Raw genomic sequence first — 15,798 nt, 5'->3', positions numbered from 1 at the left:
CCTCTGGCCTTCAGCGCTTCTGATGAGAAATCTGCTGATGATCTTATGAAAGATCATTTATATGTGATGATTCACTTCTTTCTTGCTGCCTTCAAGGTTCTCCCTTTATGTTTGGCTTTGACAATTTGAGTATAATATGTCTTCATGTCCTTCTCTTTGCATTCATCCTACCTGGAGTTCATTGAGCTTCTTGGATGACAGCATTCATTCATGGCTTTTATCTAATTTGGAATATTTGCAGCTATTATTTCTCCAAATAGTCTCCCCTGACCTTTCTCTGTCTCTTCTCCTTCTGAAACTCCCACAGTGCATATATTGGCCTGCCTGATGCTGTCTCACACGTCTCACCTGACTGCCACACCTATGTCTAGCTTATTACCAGGTCAGGGCTCTGTAGAGAGTGGGTATCTGGCTATCTTGGTAGAGATTAACTTGGCAGAGGTAGAACCATAAGGGCATCTGCCAGTATAATCAAGTTTCCTGTGAAGGACATTTGGTTATGGGTTAACACTTAAATATTAGACCCCATGAAAGTCACACTGTAAATATCCACAACCAAGTGTCCTGGAGCCCCGTCAATGCAGCACTAAAGTTCTTTTTGTTTGTTTTTGTTTTTGCTTTTTTTGAGACAGAGTCTCACTCAGTGGCCCAGGCTGGTGTGCAGTGGTGCAATCTCGGCTCACTGCAAGCTCTGCCTCCCGGGTTCACGCCATTCTCCTGCCTCAGCTTCCTGAGTAGCTGGGACTACAGGCGCCCGCCACCATGCCTGGCTAATTTTTTGTATTTTTTTTAGTAGAGACTGGGTTTCACCAGGTTAGCCAGGATGGTCTTGATCTCCTGACCTTGTGATCCGCCCGCCTCGGCCTCCCAAAGTGCTGGGATTACAGGCATGAGCTACCCCGCCTGGCCAGCACTAAAGTTTATAGCCACGCTTCTGAGAGAGATCCCGAGGCCAAATTAGAGGAAAACACTCCATGTGCAGCTGCCTGCAACAGGGGTAAGGGTGGGGATGATAGCTTGTATTGTGCTAAGTGATAAAATGACCACAATTAGCCATAGTTTACTGTCTAATCCTTTTTATGGAAGTTGCAAAGCTTCAATAGCCTCCACAGTTATAACATTGCTACATCAGATGATTCTGTCAGTCCAGTGGTTGTCTAGGTGGGGAGACAGCTTTTTTTTTTTTTTTAAGACAGAGTTTCGCTCTTGTTGCCCAGGCTGGAGTGCAATGGTGCGATCTCGGCTCACCGCAACCTCTGCCTCCCGGGTTCAAGCGATTCTCCTGCCTCAGCCTCCCAAGTAGCTGGGATTACAGGCATGCACCACCGCACCCGGCTAATTTTGTATTTTTAGTAGAGATGAGGTTTCTCCACATTGGTCAGGCTGGTCTCGAATTCCCGACCCCGGGTGATCTGCCCACCTCAGCCTCCCAAAGTGCTGGGATTATAGCTGTGAGCCACCACACCCGGCTGAGACAGCTTGGTTTTGTTTTTGTTTTTGTTTTTGCTTTTGTTTTTAGATGGAGTCTCGCTCTGTCGGCTGGAGTGCAGTGGTGCAATCTCTGCTCACTGCAACCTCTGACACCCGGGTTCAAGCGATTCTCCTGCCTCAGCCTCCCAAGTAGCTGGGATTACAGGTGCAGGCCACCATGCCCAGCTAAATTTTGTATTTTTAGTAGAGACGGAGTTTCACCATGCTGGTCAGGCTGGTCTCAAACTCCTGACCTCATGATCTGCCCGCCTCAGTCTCCCAAAGTGCTGGGATTACAAGCGTGAGCCACTGCGCCCGGCCTGAGAAAGCTTTTTTATGCTTGCTACTCTGCCATCTTCCCTGAATCCTCTGCCCTAACGTTTTACTGCCCTAATATATTATTTCAGGTCTCACAGTAAATGTCACCATCTCAGAGAGAATCCTTTGTACCACCTCAGTTACTCCTACATCTTTCCGTTTGTAGAGATATTTCCTTGCACTTCTCATATTCAGAGAAATTCAGTTAAGATTCACAGACTTTTTTGCTCTCCCTCTCTCTCTTTCTCTTTCTTTCTTTCTTTGGTGGAGACAGGGTGTCACTAGGTTGCCCAGGCTCCAGGCTGGTCTCAAACTCCTTGGCTCAAGTGATCCTCCAGCCTCGACCTCCCGAAGTGCTAGGATTACAGAGGTGAGCCACTGTGCATGGACTTATTTGCTTTTTTAACCTAGGAAAAGTTAAATCATAAAAATGAAACCAGGTTGGCCACAGTGGCTCACACCTGTAATCCTAACACTTTGGGAGGCCGAGGCAAGAGGACCACTTGAGCCCAGAGTTCAAGACCACCTGGGCAACATAGTGAGACCCCTACCTCTACAAATAACTTTTTAAAAAATAAGCCAGGCATGGTGGTACACACCCGTGGTCCCAGCTAACTGGAGGTTGAGGCAGGAGCATCACTGGAGCCCAGGAGGTTGAGGCTGCAGTGAGCTGTGATCGTGACAATGCACTCCTGCCTGGGCAATAGAGTGAGACCCTGTCTCAAAGAAAAAAAAAAAGAAAGAAAATGAAACAAAATTGAATGGTGTTACCTTTACTTCTATCATCTATATTGTGCTATGTAAAACTCCAAAATTCTGTTTTTAGCCATTTTCCAGAAGTGAAAATAAGAAGCTCCCTCTTGTGGTAAGGATGGCATTAACATCCTCTCTGGGCTGTGGATTTCTCCAGGTTGTGCTGAGACTCCAGAATTTACAGCAGGTGATAGTCAGCTTAGAATATTCTGTCTGTGCCCTCAATGAACAGGTGGCGACATGGGTTAGGAAGAACAGAAGCAAATAAAGGGAATGTGGTCATCATACAAGATATCACAGTCGATCCTGGAAGATAGTTTCAAATGAATAATTGAAATTGAGGGAAATGAGAGAGCCACAGGTGGATTCAACCTGGGCCAGCTGGACTGCTGAAAGGGAAGAGGTATTTATACAATGCTTAGAATTTAGCTGCAGAAATGATTGGATGGGTCAGTGGTGATGGAGTGGGGTTGAGAGTTTCAGATGGGTAAACTGAACATGTCCATTACCAGGTACAGAGCACGTGATGACAACCATGAACTGTGAAGGTTGGGGAGCTGCTGAAACAGAGGAAAAAGGGGAGAGTTCACTTTTGATTAGTGTGTGCGTGTGCGTGTGTGTGTTTTTGTTTTTTTTGTTTTGTGACAGAGCCTCGCTCTTTCACCCAGGCTGGGGTGCAGTGGCTCAATCTCGGCTCACTACAACCTCCACCTCCCCAGGTTCAAGTGATTCTCGTGCCTTAGCCTCCCAAGCAGCTGGGATTACAGGCATGCACGACCACACCCTGCTAATTTTTGTATTTTTAGTACAGATGGGGTTTCACCATGTTGACCAGACTGGTCTTGAACTCCTGACCTCAAGTGATCTGCCCACCTTGGCCTCCCAAAGTGCTGGGATTACAGGCGTGAGCCACCGTGCCCAGCCTGATTAGTTGTTTTATACAACTGTTAGGAGGAAAATAACAGTTTGTTTTCTCAAAGGAATAATTATATCCAGGTGGTTTTTAATTTTTTTTCTTTTTTTCGAGACAGAGTCTGGCTCTGTCACCCAGGCTGGAGTGTAGTGGCACAATCTTGGCTCACTGCAACCTCCGCCTCTTGGGTTCAAGCAATCCTCATGCCTCAGCCTCCCGAGTAGCTGGGACTACAGACATGGGCCACCATGCCCGGCTAATTTTGTATTTTTAGTAGAAATAAGGTTTCACTATGTTGGCCAGGCTAGTCTTGAACTCCTAGCCTCAAGTGATCTGCCTCCCAAAGTGCTGGGATGACAGGCTTGAACCACCATAGCCAACCATTTTCAGGGTTTTTTTGTTTTGTTTTGTTTGAGACAGAGTCTCACTCTGTCGCCCAGGCTGGAGTGCAGTGGCGCGATCTCAGCAAGCTGCGCCTCCCAGGTTCACGCCATTCTCCTGCCTCAGTCTCCCAAGTAGCTGGGACTACAGGCGCCCGCCACCACGCCCGGCTAATTTTTTGTATTTTTAGTAGAGACGGGGTTTCACCGTGTTAGCCAGGATGGTCTTGATCTCCTGACCTTGTGATCCGCCCGCCTCAGCCTCCCAAAGTACTGGAATTACAGGCGTGAGCCACCGCACCCGGACTCCAGGCTTTTTTTTTTTTTTAACCCATATAAAATATCTTAGAATTTTCTTCCTCTACTTTATATATAAACATAGGAGAAAACCCAGGAGTCTGCTGGCTTCTTATTCAAACAGTGGGATTGAGGGTCTTTGTCTCATTTAACTTATCAGTGAAAGGCAGGTGAATAACCTTGTAGGGGCCATGGGGAAAGTTCTCCTTTACCCTCTCATGTTGCACTGAAAAATCAACTCACAAAAGACTGATTAATTGGAGAAAAGGCATACACATTTTATTTAATGTATATACACAGGAGCCTTCAGAATGAAGACTCAGAGATACAGGGTAAGTTGTACATTTTTGTGCTTGGGTTTAACAATGTGTGAACAGCTATGAAGAAACCTGATTGAACAAAAAAGGTATGATTGAATGCTAACAGACTGAGTGAGGAAACCCAGAAGGCCTGTCTGTCTAGATTTTTCTTGGTCTCTCTGAGTAGCATTCCTTCCTTCTAGGTATGAGACAGAATCTTTTTTTTTTTTTTTTGAGACGGAGTCTTACTCTGTCTCCAGGCTGGAGTGCAGTGGCGCGATCTCGGCCCACTGCAACCTCCGCTTCCTGGGTTCAAGCCATTCCCCTGCCTCAGCCTCCCGAGTAGCTGGGACTACAGGCGCGTGCCACCATGCCCAGCTAATTTTTTGTATTTTAGTAGAGACGGGGTTTCACCATGTTGGCCAGATGGTCTTGATCTCCTGACCTCGTGATCCACCTGTCTTGGCCTCCCAAAGTGCTGGGATTACAGGTGTGAGCCACCGCACCTGGCCAGAATCCTCTCTTAAATGACAGTCTTATGACCTACAGTCAAATAAGGTAGGTCAGATAAATTCTTTGTGACCAGTTTTTCCAAAGGAAGGCACAGGGAAAGTTATCTGTTTGCATTTTATGGCTGCCCTTGGGGAATAGGGGTTCTGGATTCTATGACCTGCCTTGGGGAAGAGGGATTCTAGCTTCTATGGCTACCCTTGGTGGAGAATGGGACTGAGAGACAGGAGGGCAAGAGAAGGTCAGAGAAAAACTTCTGCTTCTGAGACCTGTTTTGAGGATCATTGTTTTCGGAGCCCTAAAAACCTGGAGTGGGCAGCAGAGCCTGAGGACAGTGACTTTAAGCTGACACCAGTCTTAAGCCTACAAAGGGAGGAGAATGGAGCTGGGCATCCTGCCTACCCTTGCGGATGGCCTCCAGCTGCTCAGAACAGCTAAGGACTGTGGATTCTGAGAAGCTGCAGTGCCCTGGAAAGCGGGAAACCCACATGTAGATGCAGCTAGGGGGTTGCGTCCTTTTTGAGACTGTAACTCTGGGAACTTTGGGGCCATTTCCTAGGCAGCTGCAGATTGCATAAATAGCTTTCCTTTTCAAGCAGTCTAACTGGCCCCAGATGAACCCACCTGTGGCTCTCTAAATCCTTTGAAGCAAAGTGCTTTTTAGAAACCATCGCCAGGCACGGTGGCTCACACCTGTATTCCCAGCACTGTGGAAGGCTGAGGGGGGAGGGTTGCTTGAGCCCAGGGGTTCAAGACCAGCCTGGGCAACATGGTGAGACTCCCCCATCCCCCCGCCACGCCGTGTCTACCTCAAAAAATTTTTTTAAATTAGCCAAGCTGGTGGTGCACGCCTGCAGTTCCAGCTCCTTGGGAGGCTGAGGTGGGAGGATGGCTTGAACCCAGGAGCTTGAGGCTGCAGTGAGCTGGGATCACACCACTCACTGCCCTCCAGCCTTGGTGACACAGAGACCCTGTCTCCAAAACAAAACAAAACAACCACAAAAATCCTCCAGGATAGACTGTGATATCATGGGTAAGTTCCATGTCCATTTTATTTGATTTTGTCCTCTCTAACCTGTTATACTACCTGCTCATTGAGGGCATAGACAGAATATTTTAATCTGACCATCTTCTTTTGTAAATATTGAAGATCTCAGTACATTCAAGTGCTTTGCCTTGGGCATGCACAGAGTCACAGGAGGCAGGCTGTCATTTGTATATAGGAGGAAAATCTGTGAAGGTCAGACTTAAAGACTCATTAGATTGCCTTCTGGAAAAGGAGTTATGAATTTGACAGTTTATATAGGTCAATGCATTAAACTGATTTTTAGATGAGAGTTTCCTGCTGGCAAAAAGGAAGGTCTTGGCCGGCACGGTGGTTCACACCTGTAATCCCAACATTTTGAGAGGCTGAGGTGGGTGGATCACCCGATGTCAGGAATTCAAGACCAGCCTGGCCAACATGGTAAAACCTCGTCTCTCTAAAAATATAAAAATTAGTGGGCCGAGTGCAGTGGCTCACACCTGTAATCTCATCACTTTCGGAGGCCAAGGTGGGCAAATTGCCTGAGCTCAGGAGTTCGCGACCAGCCTGGGCAACACGGTGAAATCCCGTCTCTACTAAAATACAAAAAATTAGCCGGACATGGCGGCGTGCGCCTGTAGTCCCAGCTACTCGGGAGGCTGAGGCAGGAGAATTGCTTGAGCCTGGGAGGCGGAGGTTGCAGTGAGCCGAGATCGTGCCACTGCATTCCAGCCTGGGCAACAGAGCGAGACTGTGTCTCAAAAAAAAAAATTAGCTGGGCGTGGTAGCACATGCCTGTAGTCCCAGCTCCTTGGGTGGCTAAGGTAGGAGGATCGCTTGAACCCGGGAGGCGAAGGTTGCGAGCCAAGATCACGCCACTACACTCCAGCCTGGGCGACAGAGAGAGACTCCGTCTCAAAAAAAAAAAAAAAAAGAAAAAGAAAGAAAGAAAATGAAGGTCTTGAAGGAAGGAGCATTTCCACACTCTGGAGAAGGAGTAGGAGGCCACGTTGAGTTCCCAGAGTTAAATCTTTAAGTGCCCCTGCCTCATCAGAGTTTGACTCACAAGCTTGGGAACGTGTATCACCTTCTGACTGCAGGTTTGTGAACTGTGGGTGCAGCAGGCTACTTATCTCAACTAGTTCGAGTGTTTGCTTTTCTTGTCTTTCGATTTCCTTATAAAATATTGCTACTATGTGATTCCACTTTTTCCATACATTTAATGATTTTATTCCGTTGTTGGCATGTTATTACTTCCTTGGCTGAAAATCAGTAGATTGAGAGATAAGGTGGGAGAAAGGCTTGGCCATGCAGCCAACAGACTTATCCAAAATTCCTGATCCCTGGAACACATCGGGCCCTTATTTTTTTTTTTTTTTTTTTTTTTTTTTTGAGATGGTGTCTCACTCTGTCGCCCAGGCTGGAGTGCAGTGGCACGATCTTGACTCACTGCAGCCTTGACCTCCCAGGCTCAAGTGATCCTCCCACCTCAGCCTTCCGAGTAGCTAGGACTACAGGTACAGGCCACCATTCCAGGCTAATTTTTGTATTTTTTTGTAGAGACAGGCTCTCACTATGTTGTCCAGGATGGTCTCGAACTCCTGGGCTCAAGCAATGCACCGGCCTCGGCCTCCCAAAGTGTTAGGATTACGGCTATGAGCTATCACGCCCAGCCTAAGCCCTTATTCTTGTTGCAGTGTGGCCCGTATGGCCTCGGCTCTCCTCCTACTCCGAGGCCAGGGAATGGCTCCACTGGACAATGTGTCTGGGTTTCCCTGCACACACTTGTGATCCCCAGTCTAGGAGGAAAAAGCAGGAAGGTCACACTGAGTACAGATGGGGGATCCTGCTTAAATGCAGATGTCCCCTGGGAGGGGTCAGGTCACAGCGCAGGGAAGAAGCCCGCCCTGCCAAGGGCTGTGTCAAGAACTCGTTCATCAGTCTCCACTCCCCAGCGTGAGATCGCTTCTGTAACTCAGTCGTCAGGGGGCGGGATCTGTCGCACTATCCAATCAGGGCCGTGGGGCGGGGTCGTGGGAACTGTCAATCAGGCGCACTTCAGCTAAGAGGGTGCGAGATTGAAAAAGCCCGCGGCGTCTTCTACACGCCACTTCGCTGGGCTCCTGTCTCTGTCGCTGAGAGGCACTCTGGAGAGTCTGCGGCAGCCTCTGTCACACAGGGACCTGCACTGGTCGTGGGAGCCGCAGAGAGGCCCCCGGGACACGGAGGAATTCGGAAAATGGTGAGCGTGAGGGGCCAGGGATCCCGAGACGGGAGGAGGGGCTGGTTGGAACTGGCCGTGGCGGGTCCCCGGCCTCCCAGCCAGCGACTCCGGGCTCTGTGGACCGGAGTACCGCTGGCGGAGCTCGGCCCTCGGTCCCCTCGGCCGCAGGGTGGGGCTGGGCTGGCAGCCGGGACCCCGGGCGTCCTGTCCCGTCCCTTCGCGGCGACTGCGGGCCCGGGCAGGAGTCCTCTCTGGGCAGCTCCGCGCCCGCAGCCCCGCGTCTCTCCAGATTGTGCGGGGGCCACGGGAGGGTCATGGGGGGAATCCCGACTCGTGTGCGGGGTTCATGCGTGGAAGGAGCTACGGTCCGGGGTCCCCAGTTCCTTCTTTATTCCTTTATTCCTTTTTTAAACCAAATATAAAATTCTAAGCCCCCCAGTCATTTTGAACAGATCCCTCCTCCCGGCGAAGGCACTACAAAATTAACCTGAAAAACTTGTTCAGGCCATCATGGAAGGGTGGTCTGTGTATTCGTCTGTTCTCACACTGCTGGAAAGATACTACCTGAGACTGGGTAATTTATTTTTAAAAAAAGTTTTTAATTGACTCACTGTTCCACATGGCCTTAGGAAACTTACAATCATGGCAGAAGGGGAAGCAAGGCACGTCTTACGGGGTGGCAGGAGGGAGAGAGAGAAGGGAGGAGAGGGAGAGAGAGAAGGGAGGAGCCCAGACACTTATCCAGTAACCAGATCTCGTGAGAACACTGTATCAGGAGAACAGCATGGGGGAAACCACCCCCATGATCCAATCACCTCCCAGCAGGTCCCTCCCTCAACATATGGGGATTACAAATAGGATTACAATTCCTGCAAGCAGGCTCTGTGGCGCAATAGCCTAAATCGAAAGGATTACAATACCAGATGCAATTTAGATGGGGACACAGTCAAACTGTATCAGCTGGACGTGCCCCATTATATTTGCCTCCCTTTTGGAACCCAGGAAAAGCCTATCAGTATTAACATCAACACAGAACTTAAGTCTGATAAGAAGCATTTACAATCTATTCTCTCTGAAGCCTGCCACCTGGAGGCTTCATCTGCATTATGAAACTTTGGTCTCCACAACCATTTATGGGAAAATCCACCTGTGACCTGGGAACCAGACCCCTCCCCCGCCCACTTTGTGTTGTCCCTCCTTTCCAAGTAGAACCAATGTACCTCTTACATGTATTGACTGATGTATTATGTCTCCCCAAAATGTATTAATATAAAAGCAAGCTGTACCCCAACCACCTTGGACACATGTGGTCAGGACCTCCTGAGGCTGTATCATGGATGTGTCCTTAACCTTGGCAAAATAAACTTTTTTTTCTGAGATGGAGTTTCACTCTTCTTGCCCAGGCTAGAGTGCAGTGGTGCCATCTTGGCTCGGTACAACCTCTGCCTCCCGGGTTCAAGTGATTCTCCTGCCTCAGCCTCCCGAGTAGCTGGGATTACAGGCATGCACCACCACGCCTGGCTAATTTTGTATTTTTAGTAGAGACGGGGTTTCTCCCTGTTGGTCAGGCTGGTCTCGAACTCTGGGCCTCAGGTGATCCACCTGCCTCTGCCTCCCAAAGTGCTGGGATTACAGGCGTAAGCCACCACGCCCAGCCAATAAACTTTCTAAATTGAAACATGTCTCAGATACTTTTGAGTTCACATTCCTAAATGGCAAGTGGTATCCCTCTGCATCTTCCAAAGGTTTGGGAATCAGGGTTTCTAATCCACCACTCTCTTCCCTCAACTAACTCCTCCGAGGGCTTAAAATCCCTTGGTTTTTAAGCTCTTTCCCTGCATTTTGTGACTCTGATTTCATCTCCTCAGTTCACAGCAACATTAAACATTCTTTTTCCCTGGTGCTGTATTTCTAGCACCACTGGGTTCATTCTAGCAGTGTCCCTTTATTTCTTTTACTTTTTTCAACTCCAGTGAGAAACAGGCACTAATTATCTACAACATATATTGTAGATAACATAACAACATATATTCTAACATGTAAAATAGTTTCAGAATTGCTAATCCATACCCTTCTAGGGAAAAATACCCATTAGAATCGAGTGTTTGTGTACATTTCTTAAGTCATAGTATTCAATCAAAACGCTGTTTTCTGGGCCAGGCGCGGTGGCTCACGCCTGTAATACCAGCACTTTGGGTGGATCACCTGAGGTCAGGAATTCAAGGCCAGCCTTGCCAATATGGTGAAACCCCATCTCTACTAAAAATACGAAAATTAGCTGGGCATGGTGGCATGCACTTATAGTCCCAGAGCAAGACTCCGTCTCCAAAAAAAAAAAAAAAAAAAAAAAAAAGGAATTCCTTCGTTATCTTGTCATGCTTCAAGGCCCAGGAAAGGCCTGGGCAAAACTCTTGTTGGGCTTTTGTTACATTCCAGCCTTTGTTTAGAGGCATCGGCTCTCTCGACTTTTAATATTTAACCACTCAGTGCTGAAACAGTTGTTATGGAAGCCTGTGTTAGTGAGACTCTGGCCTGCCACATAGTGAAGGGTAAAAACTAACCCTAAGGAAAGGAAAACCCACCCCCCAATGATGTGGTACAAGAACCTCAAAAGCACACAGTGCAGTGTCTCCTGGGAGGGCGGTCACTCAGCACTTCAGTGAGCAGCATGGGAAGGGGTATGTCTCAGATGATAGGAGAACCTGACCTGATACTTGAGTCAGACTTGTCTGTTTTCAGTCAGCACTGCACCTCCATGGATTTGTCACCTTGAAGACATCTGTAACTCATCTCAGATTTACTTTTTTTTTTTTTTTGAGACGGAGTCTCGCTCTGTCGCCCAGGCTGGAGTGCAGTGGCGCCATCTTGGCTCACTGCAAGCTGCGCCTCCCAGGTTCACGCCATTCTCCTGCCTCAGCCTCCCGAGTAGCTGGGACTACAGGTGCCAGCCACCACGCCCGGATAATTTTTTGTATTTTTTTTAGTAGAGACAGGGTTTCACTGTGTTAGCCAGGATGGTCTTGATCTCCTGACCTCGTGATCCGCCCGCCTCGGCCTCCCAAGGTGCTGAGATTACAGGCGTGAGCCACCCCGCGCCCGGCCTCATCTTGTAATTTATCAGATCTATGGGCATGGAGTTAATATTCCTTTATGGTTCTTTTAATGTTCATGGAAATCTTAGAGATGCCCACCCTTTTGTGAGTTAGCATGGGTGTTTATCAATTTTATTCATTTCAGAAAACCAGGATTTGGATTTGTTGATGTTTTCCATTGATTTCCTGTTTGCAATTTCATTAATATCTTCTCTCGTTGTTTTCCTCTCCTTAATTTACATTTATCGTGCTCTTCTTTCTCTAGTTTCCTGGGGTGGAATTTACAGCATTGTTTTTTAGATCTTTACTTTCAAGAGTTTGCATTTAATTATTTAAATAGCTCTCTAAGCACTGCCTTTGCTGTATTCTACAAATTTTGCTAAAAGTTTTTTTCAATTTTTGGAATATTTAAGTATCTCTGGAGAATTCTGTCTGTTGCATAGTTTAGAAGTTTGTGGTTTAAATCTTTACTTTCTGGAGGCTTTTAAACTATGCTTCTGCTATTGATCTCTAGTTTAATGCTAATACGGTTTGATTTCGTATTTTATGGAATTTGATTTTTTTAAATTTGTTAAGGTATGTTTTATGCTATGTGGTCTGCCTTGGTGAATATTCCATGGTCTCCTGTTTCAGCCTCCTGAGTAGCTGGGACTACAGGTGCATGCCACCACACCCGGCTAATTTTTGTATTTTTAGTAGAGACAGGGTTTCACCATGTTGGTTAGGCTGGTCTCAAACTCTTGATCTCAGTTGATCCACCCACCTCGGCCTCCCAAAGTGCTGGGATTACAGGCATGAGCCGCCGCGCCCGGCCTGAATGTGTATTATCTATATACACCAGTAAAAAAGACAGGCACTGGCAGAGTAGAATTAAAAACAAGGCCCAGCAATGTGTAAAAGATAACCATTTTCAACAGAAAGACACAGATACCTTAAATAGAAAGGTATGGTGAAATATATGCCATTCTAGCCCTACTCAAAAGTATGGAACGGCTATATTAAATTCAGATAAATCAGGTTTTTTGGTTTATTTATTTATTTATTTATTTTTCGAGACAGGGTCTCTGGCACCCAGGCTGGGGTGCAGTGGTGTGATCACAGCAACCTGTGCCTCCCGAACTCAAGCAATCCTCCCACCTCATCTGGGACTACAGGCGTGTGCTACCATGCCTGGCTAATTTTTGTATTTATTTTTTGTAGAGACAGGGTCTCTCCATGTTGCTCAGCTGGTCTTGAGAACTCCTGGGCTCAAGTGATCCACCCATCTTGTCTTCCTGAGATGAATCACGAGGTCAGGAGATTGAGACCATCCTGGCTAGCATGGTGAAACCCCGTCTCTACTAAAAATATAAAAAATTAGCCAGGCGTGTTGGTGGGCACCTGTAGTCCCAGCTACTCGGGAGGCTGAGGCAGGAGAATGGCGTGAACCCGGGAGGCGGAGCTTGCAGTGAGCCGAGATGGCACCACTGCACTCCAGCCTGGGCGATGGAGCGAGACTCCATCTCAAAAAAAAAAAAAAATACACATTCAAAGTGGTAATTGACATAGATTAATATGTTCATATATATTGTTTGTTGTACTTGTGCTTTTTTTCTACTTGCTCTATTTTTCTGCCTTTTAATTGAGCGTTCTATATGATTCCATTTGCTTGCTTCTATTAGTGTAGTAAGTCTACTTGTTTCTTAAATTTTATTAGTGAATTCCATAGTTTGCAGTATACATTTGCAACTAATGGACTTTCATTTTCAAATAACACTATACTGGTGTCTGGGGTAGTGCCAATATGTTAAGAGTGTTCTGAATTCCTCTTTCCAATCCCATATAATATCACTGTCACGCATTTGACCTGTTAGAAGCTATAACCACCCAATACATTGTTGATATTCATTTGAACAAACATTTATCTATGAAGGAGAAGAAAAGATAATCATATTTGTGCCCTCATTTAATTATTTTCTAACAAGTTTTATTTCTGAAACATCTGCTTTCCTAACCTGTATCAGTTTCCTTCGCTCTGAAGAACTTTAACATGACTGGCAAGGCAGGTATACTAGTAACACATTCTCTCAATTTCTTTCCTCTTTCTTTTCCACAGACTGGTAATTTTTTTCTTTCTTTTTTTTTTTTTTTTTTTTTGAGATGGAGTTTCACTCTCGTTGCCCAGGCTGGTGTGCAATGGCGTAATCTCGGTTCACTGCTACCTCCACCTCCTTGGTTCAAGCTATTCTTCTACCTCAGCCTCCCAAGTAACTGGGATTACAGGCATGCACCACCACACCCAGCTAATTCTGTATTTTTAGTAGAGACAGGGTTTCTCCATGTTGGTCAGGCTGGTCTCGAACTCCCGACCTCAGGTGATCCACCCACCTGGACCTCCCAAAGTGCTGGGATTACAGGTGTGAGCCACCGCGCCTGGCCCAGACTGGATAATTTTAATTGTTTCATCTTCACAGTTGCTGATTCTTTGTTATGTTAGCAAGTAGTGAATTGGCTCACTTCCAGATGTACACACAAGCCAATAGCATGGCACCAGCTTTTGAAGAAAGAAAAGCTTTACTACAAGTTTGACTGGCAAGGAGAAAGGAAGAAATGCTCAAATATGTCTCCCTGAGCTGGGGGCTTTGGCAAGTTTTATAAGCGTGGGGTAATAAGACATGAACTCACTGCATCTTGCAATGATCTCATGCCAGGTTAATGTGACTCGATTGGATCCTGCCATGGGATGATACCGGGGCCCAACCTGATTAGATCCTAGATTCCACCATGTGGTATCTTTTTTTTTTTTTTTTTTTTGAGACAGAGCCTCACTCTGTAGCCCAAGCTGGAATGCAGTGGCATGATCTCGCTCACTGCAACCTTCACCTCTGGAGCTCAAGCAATTCTGCCTCAGCCTCCCAAGTAGCTGGGACTACAGGTGTGCGCCACCACACCTGGTTAATATTTTGTATCTTTCACAGAGACAGGGTTTTACCATGTTGCTCTGGGTGGTCTTGAACTCTTGAGCTCAGGCAATCCACCCACCTCAGCCTCCCAAAGTGCTGGGATTACAGGCATGAGTCACCGTGCCCAGCATCTACTTTTTACTTTAATCTCCACACCTCAGTCCAAGCATATAGGTTCCACCCATGGTTACACATTTGGTTCATCTGGGCATGCTCAGATTATGTGACCTTGAGTGTTGGGTCCATGGCAACTGAAAACTCAGCTTTGTTATATAGAAGTTGTACCACATAATCTGTTGTGGTTACAAATCCCTCCTATTATGTTCATTCCTAAGTCTTGAAGGAAAAGGAATGATAACTGCTCTAACTACTTTCTGCTGATTAGAGTCATAGACCTTAGAGGAATGAAAGTATTTAGTGCTTTGCTCTGGGAGTTCCCTGGTATCAGCCAGGTGCGGTGGCTCACGCCTGTAATCCCAGCACTTTGGGAGGCCGAGGCACGTAGATCACAAGGTCAGGTCGATTGAGACCATCTTGGCCAACAGGGTGAAACCCCATCTCTACTAAATGACAAAAAATTAGCTGGGCGTGGTGGTGCGCACCTGTCTCTCAGCCACTTGGGAGGCGGAGCTTGCAGTGAGCTGAGATCACGCCACTGCACTCCAGCCTGGGCAACAGAGCAAGACTCCGACTCAAAAAAAAAAAAAAAAAAAAAAAAAAAAAGGAGTTCCCTGGTATCAAGATCACATTTTAGAAGGCGTTATTTCTACATAGTTCTGGGGAAAAGGCATAAGGAGTTTGCAACCTAAACATTATTTGTTCCAGAGAACAAGGGAAAGCTTAGGTTTTATAGCAAAAGTTCCCATCTGGGTTCCTAGTCAAGTGCTTTTATGCAAATGAAGATCTGAAACTTGAAACTCAGTTCTGATTGGTTGATACAGCTGAGCTCTGATTGACTAGCTCAGGTGAGCCCCCAAAGTTAAAAAGGTGTTGGTTTTCAGGAAACTCACAGTGCTTGTGACCCCTAGTTAACAAGTGGCGGCTTAGCTCTTTTTAAAACTTAGGCCCAGTTAGCCAGTGTGAAGGACTGACTCTAACCCGTCCACAGACAGCATTCATAAGTTTTTGTGTGTGTTCTATCATGGTACCAGTGACCTGCTGTGGGTCCATCCCATGCAGGGATCCTAATGGCAGGGCAGTGGCCAGTTGGGCAACTATAGCCATTTACTTATAAGAGGTTCTCAGGAACCTGTTAAATTTTAGCCAAAATCTCTTGGGTTAAGTTGGTTTCAGTGGCCAGCTGGAGTGAGTTTAAAATCTCAAGTATTAGGTCAGCAAGAACCTAGTGGGGGTCTCTTGGAGGCATCTGTTGAAACAAGATAGAACAATTTTAAAGAGGAGCCAAATGCATATTTTAAATAGGATCATTGAGACTTGTAGGGCAGAATGGAGAAGAAATCCTATACCAGGGGAAGAGCCAGCTGAAAATATCTGGAAATTGGAAATGTAACCCAGTAAGTCTAGACAGGAGGGTTTCTGAAGGTGTCCCTTTCAGAGATTTGGCTGGTTTTAAGAT

The 15,798-nt window shown here is 46.7% G+C and overlaps 3 annotated features.

Annotated features, from left to right (window-relative positions):
- Window positions 7,876-7,925: a silencer, noted in NCBI's record as "silent region_10127". NCBI's record gives its function as "represses an Ori minimal core promoter by ATAC-STARR-seq in GM12878 lymphoblastoid cells {active_cell/tissue: GM12878}" and the evidence as "EXISTENCE:reporter gene assay evidence [ECO:0000049][PMID:35858748]".
- Window positions 8,036-8,095: a silencer, noted in NCBI's record as "silent region_10126". NCBI's record gives its function as "represses an Ori minimal core promoter by ATAC-STARR-seq in GM12878 lymphoblastoid cells {active_cell/tissue: GM12878}" and the evidence as "EXISTENCE:reporter gene assay evidence [ECO:0000049][PMID:35858748]".
- Window positions 8,856-9,000: a transcriptional cis regulatory region, noted in NCBI's record as "candidate enhancer chr19.1989 targeted for multiplex CRISPR interference". NCBI's record gives its function as "positively regulates ZNF700 gene expression with high confidence in K562 cells {active_cell/tissue: K562}" and the evidence as "EXISTENCE:mutant phenotype evidence [ECO:0000015][PMID:30612741]".

This window comes from Homo sapiens, chromosome 19, assembly GCF_000001405.40.
Source record: "Homo sapiens chromosome 19, GRCh38.p14 Primary Assembly".
NCBI lineage: Eukaryota > Metazoa > Chordata > Mammalia > Primates > Hominidae > Homo > Homo sapiens.
This window is presented reverse-complemented; position numbering and strand designations above follow the sequence as displayed.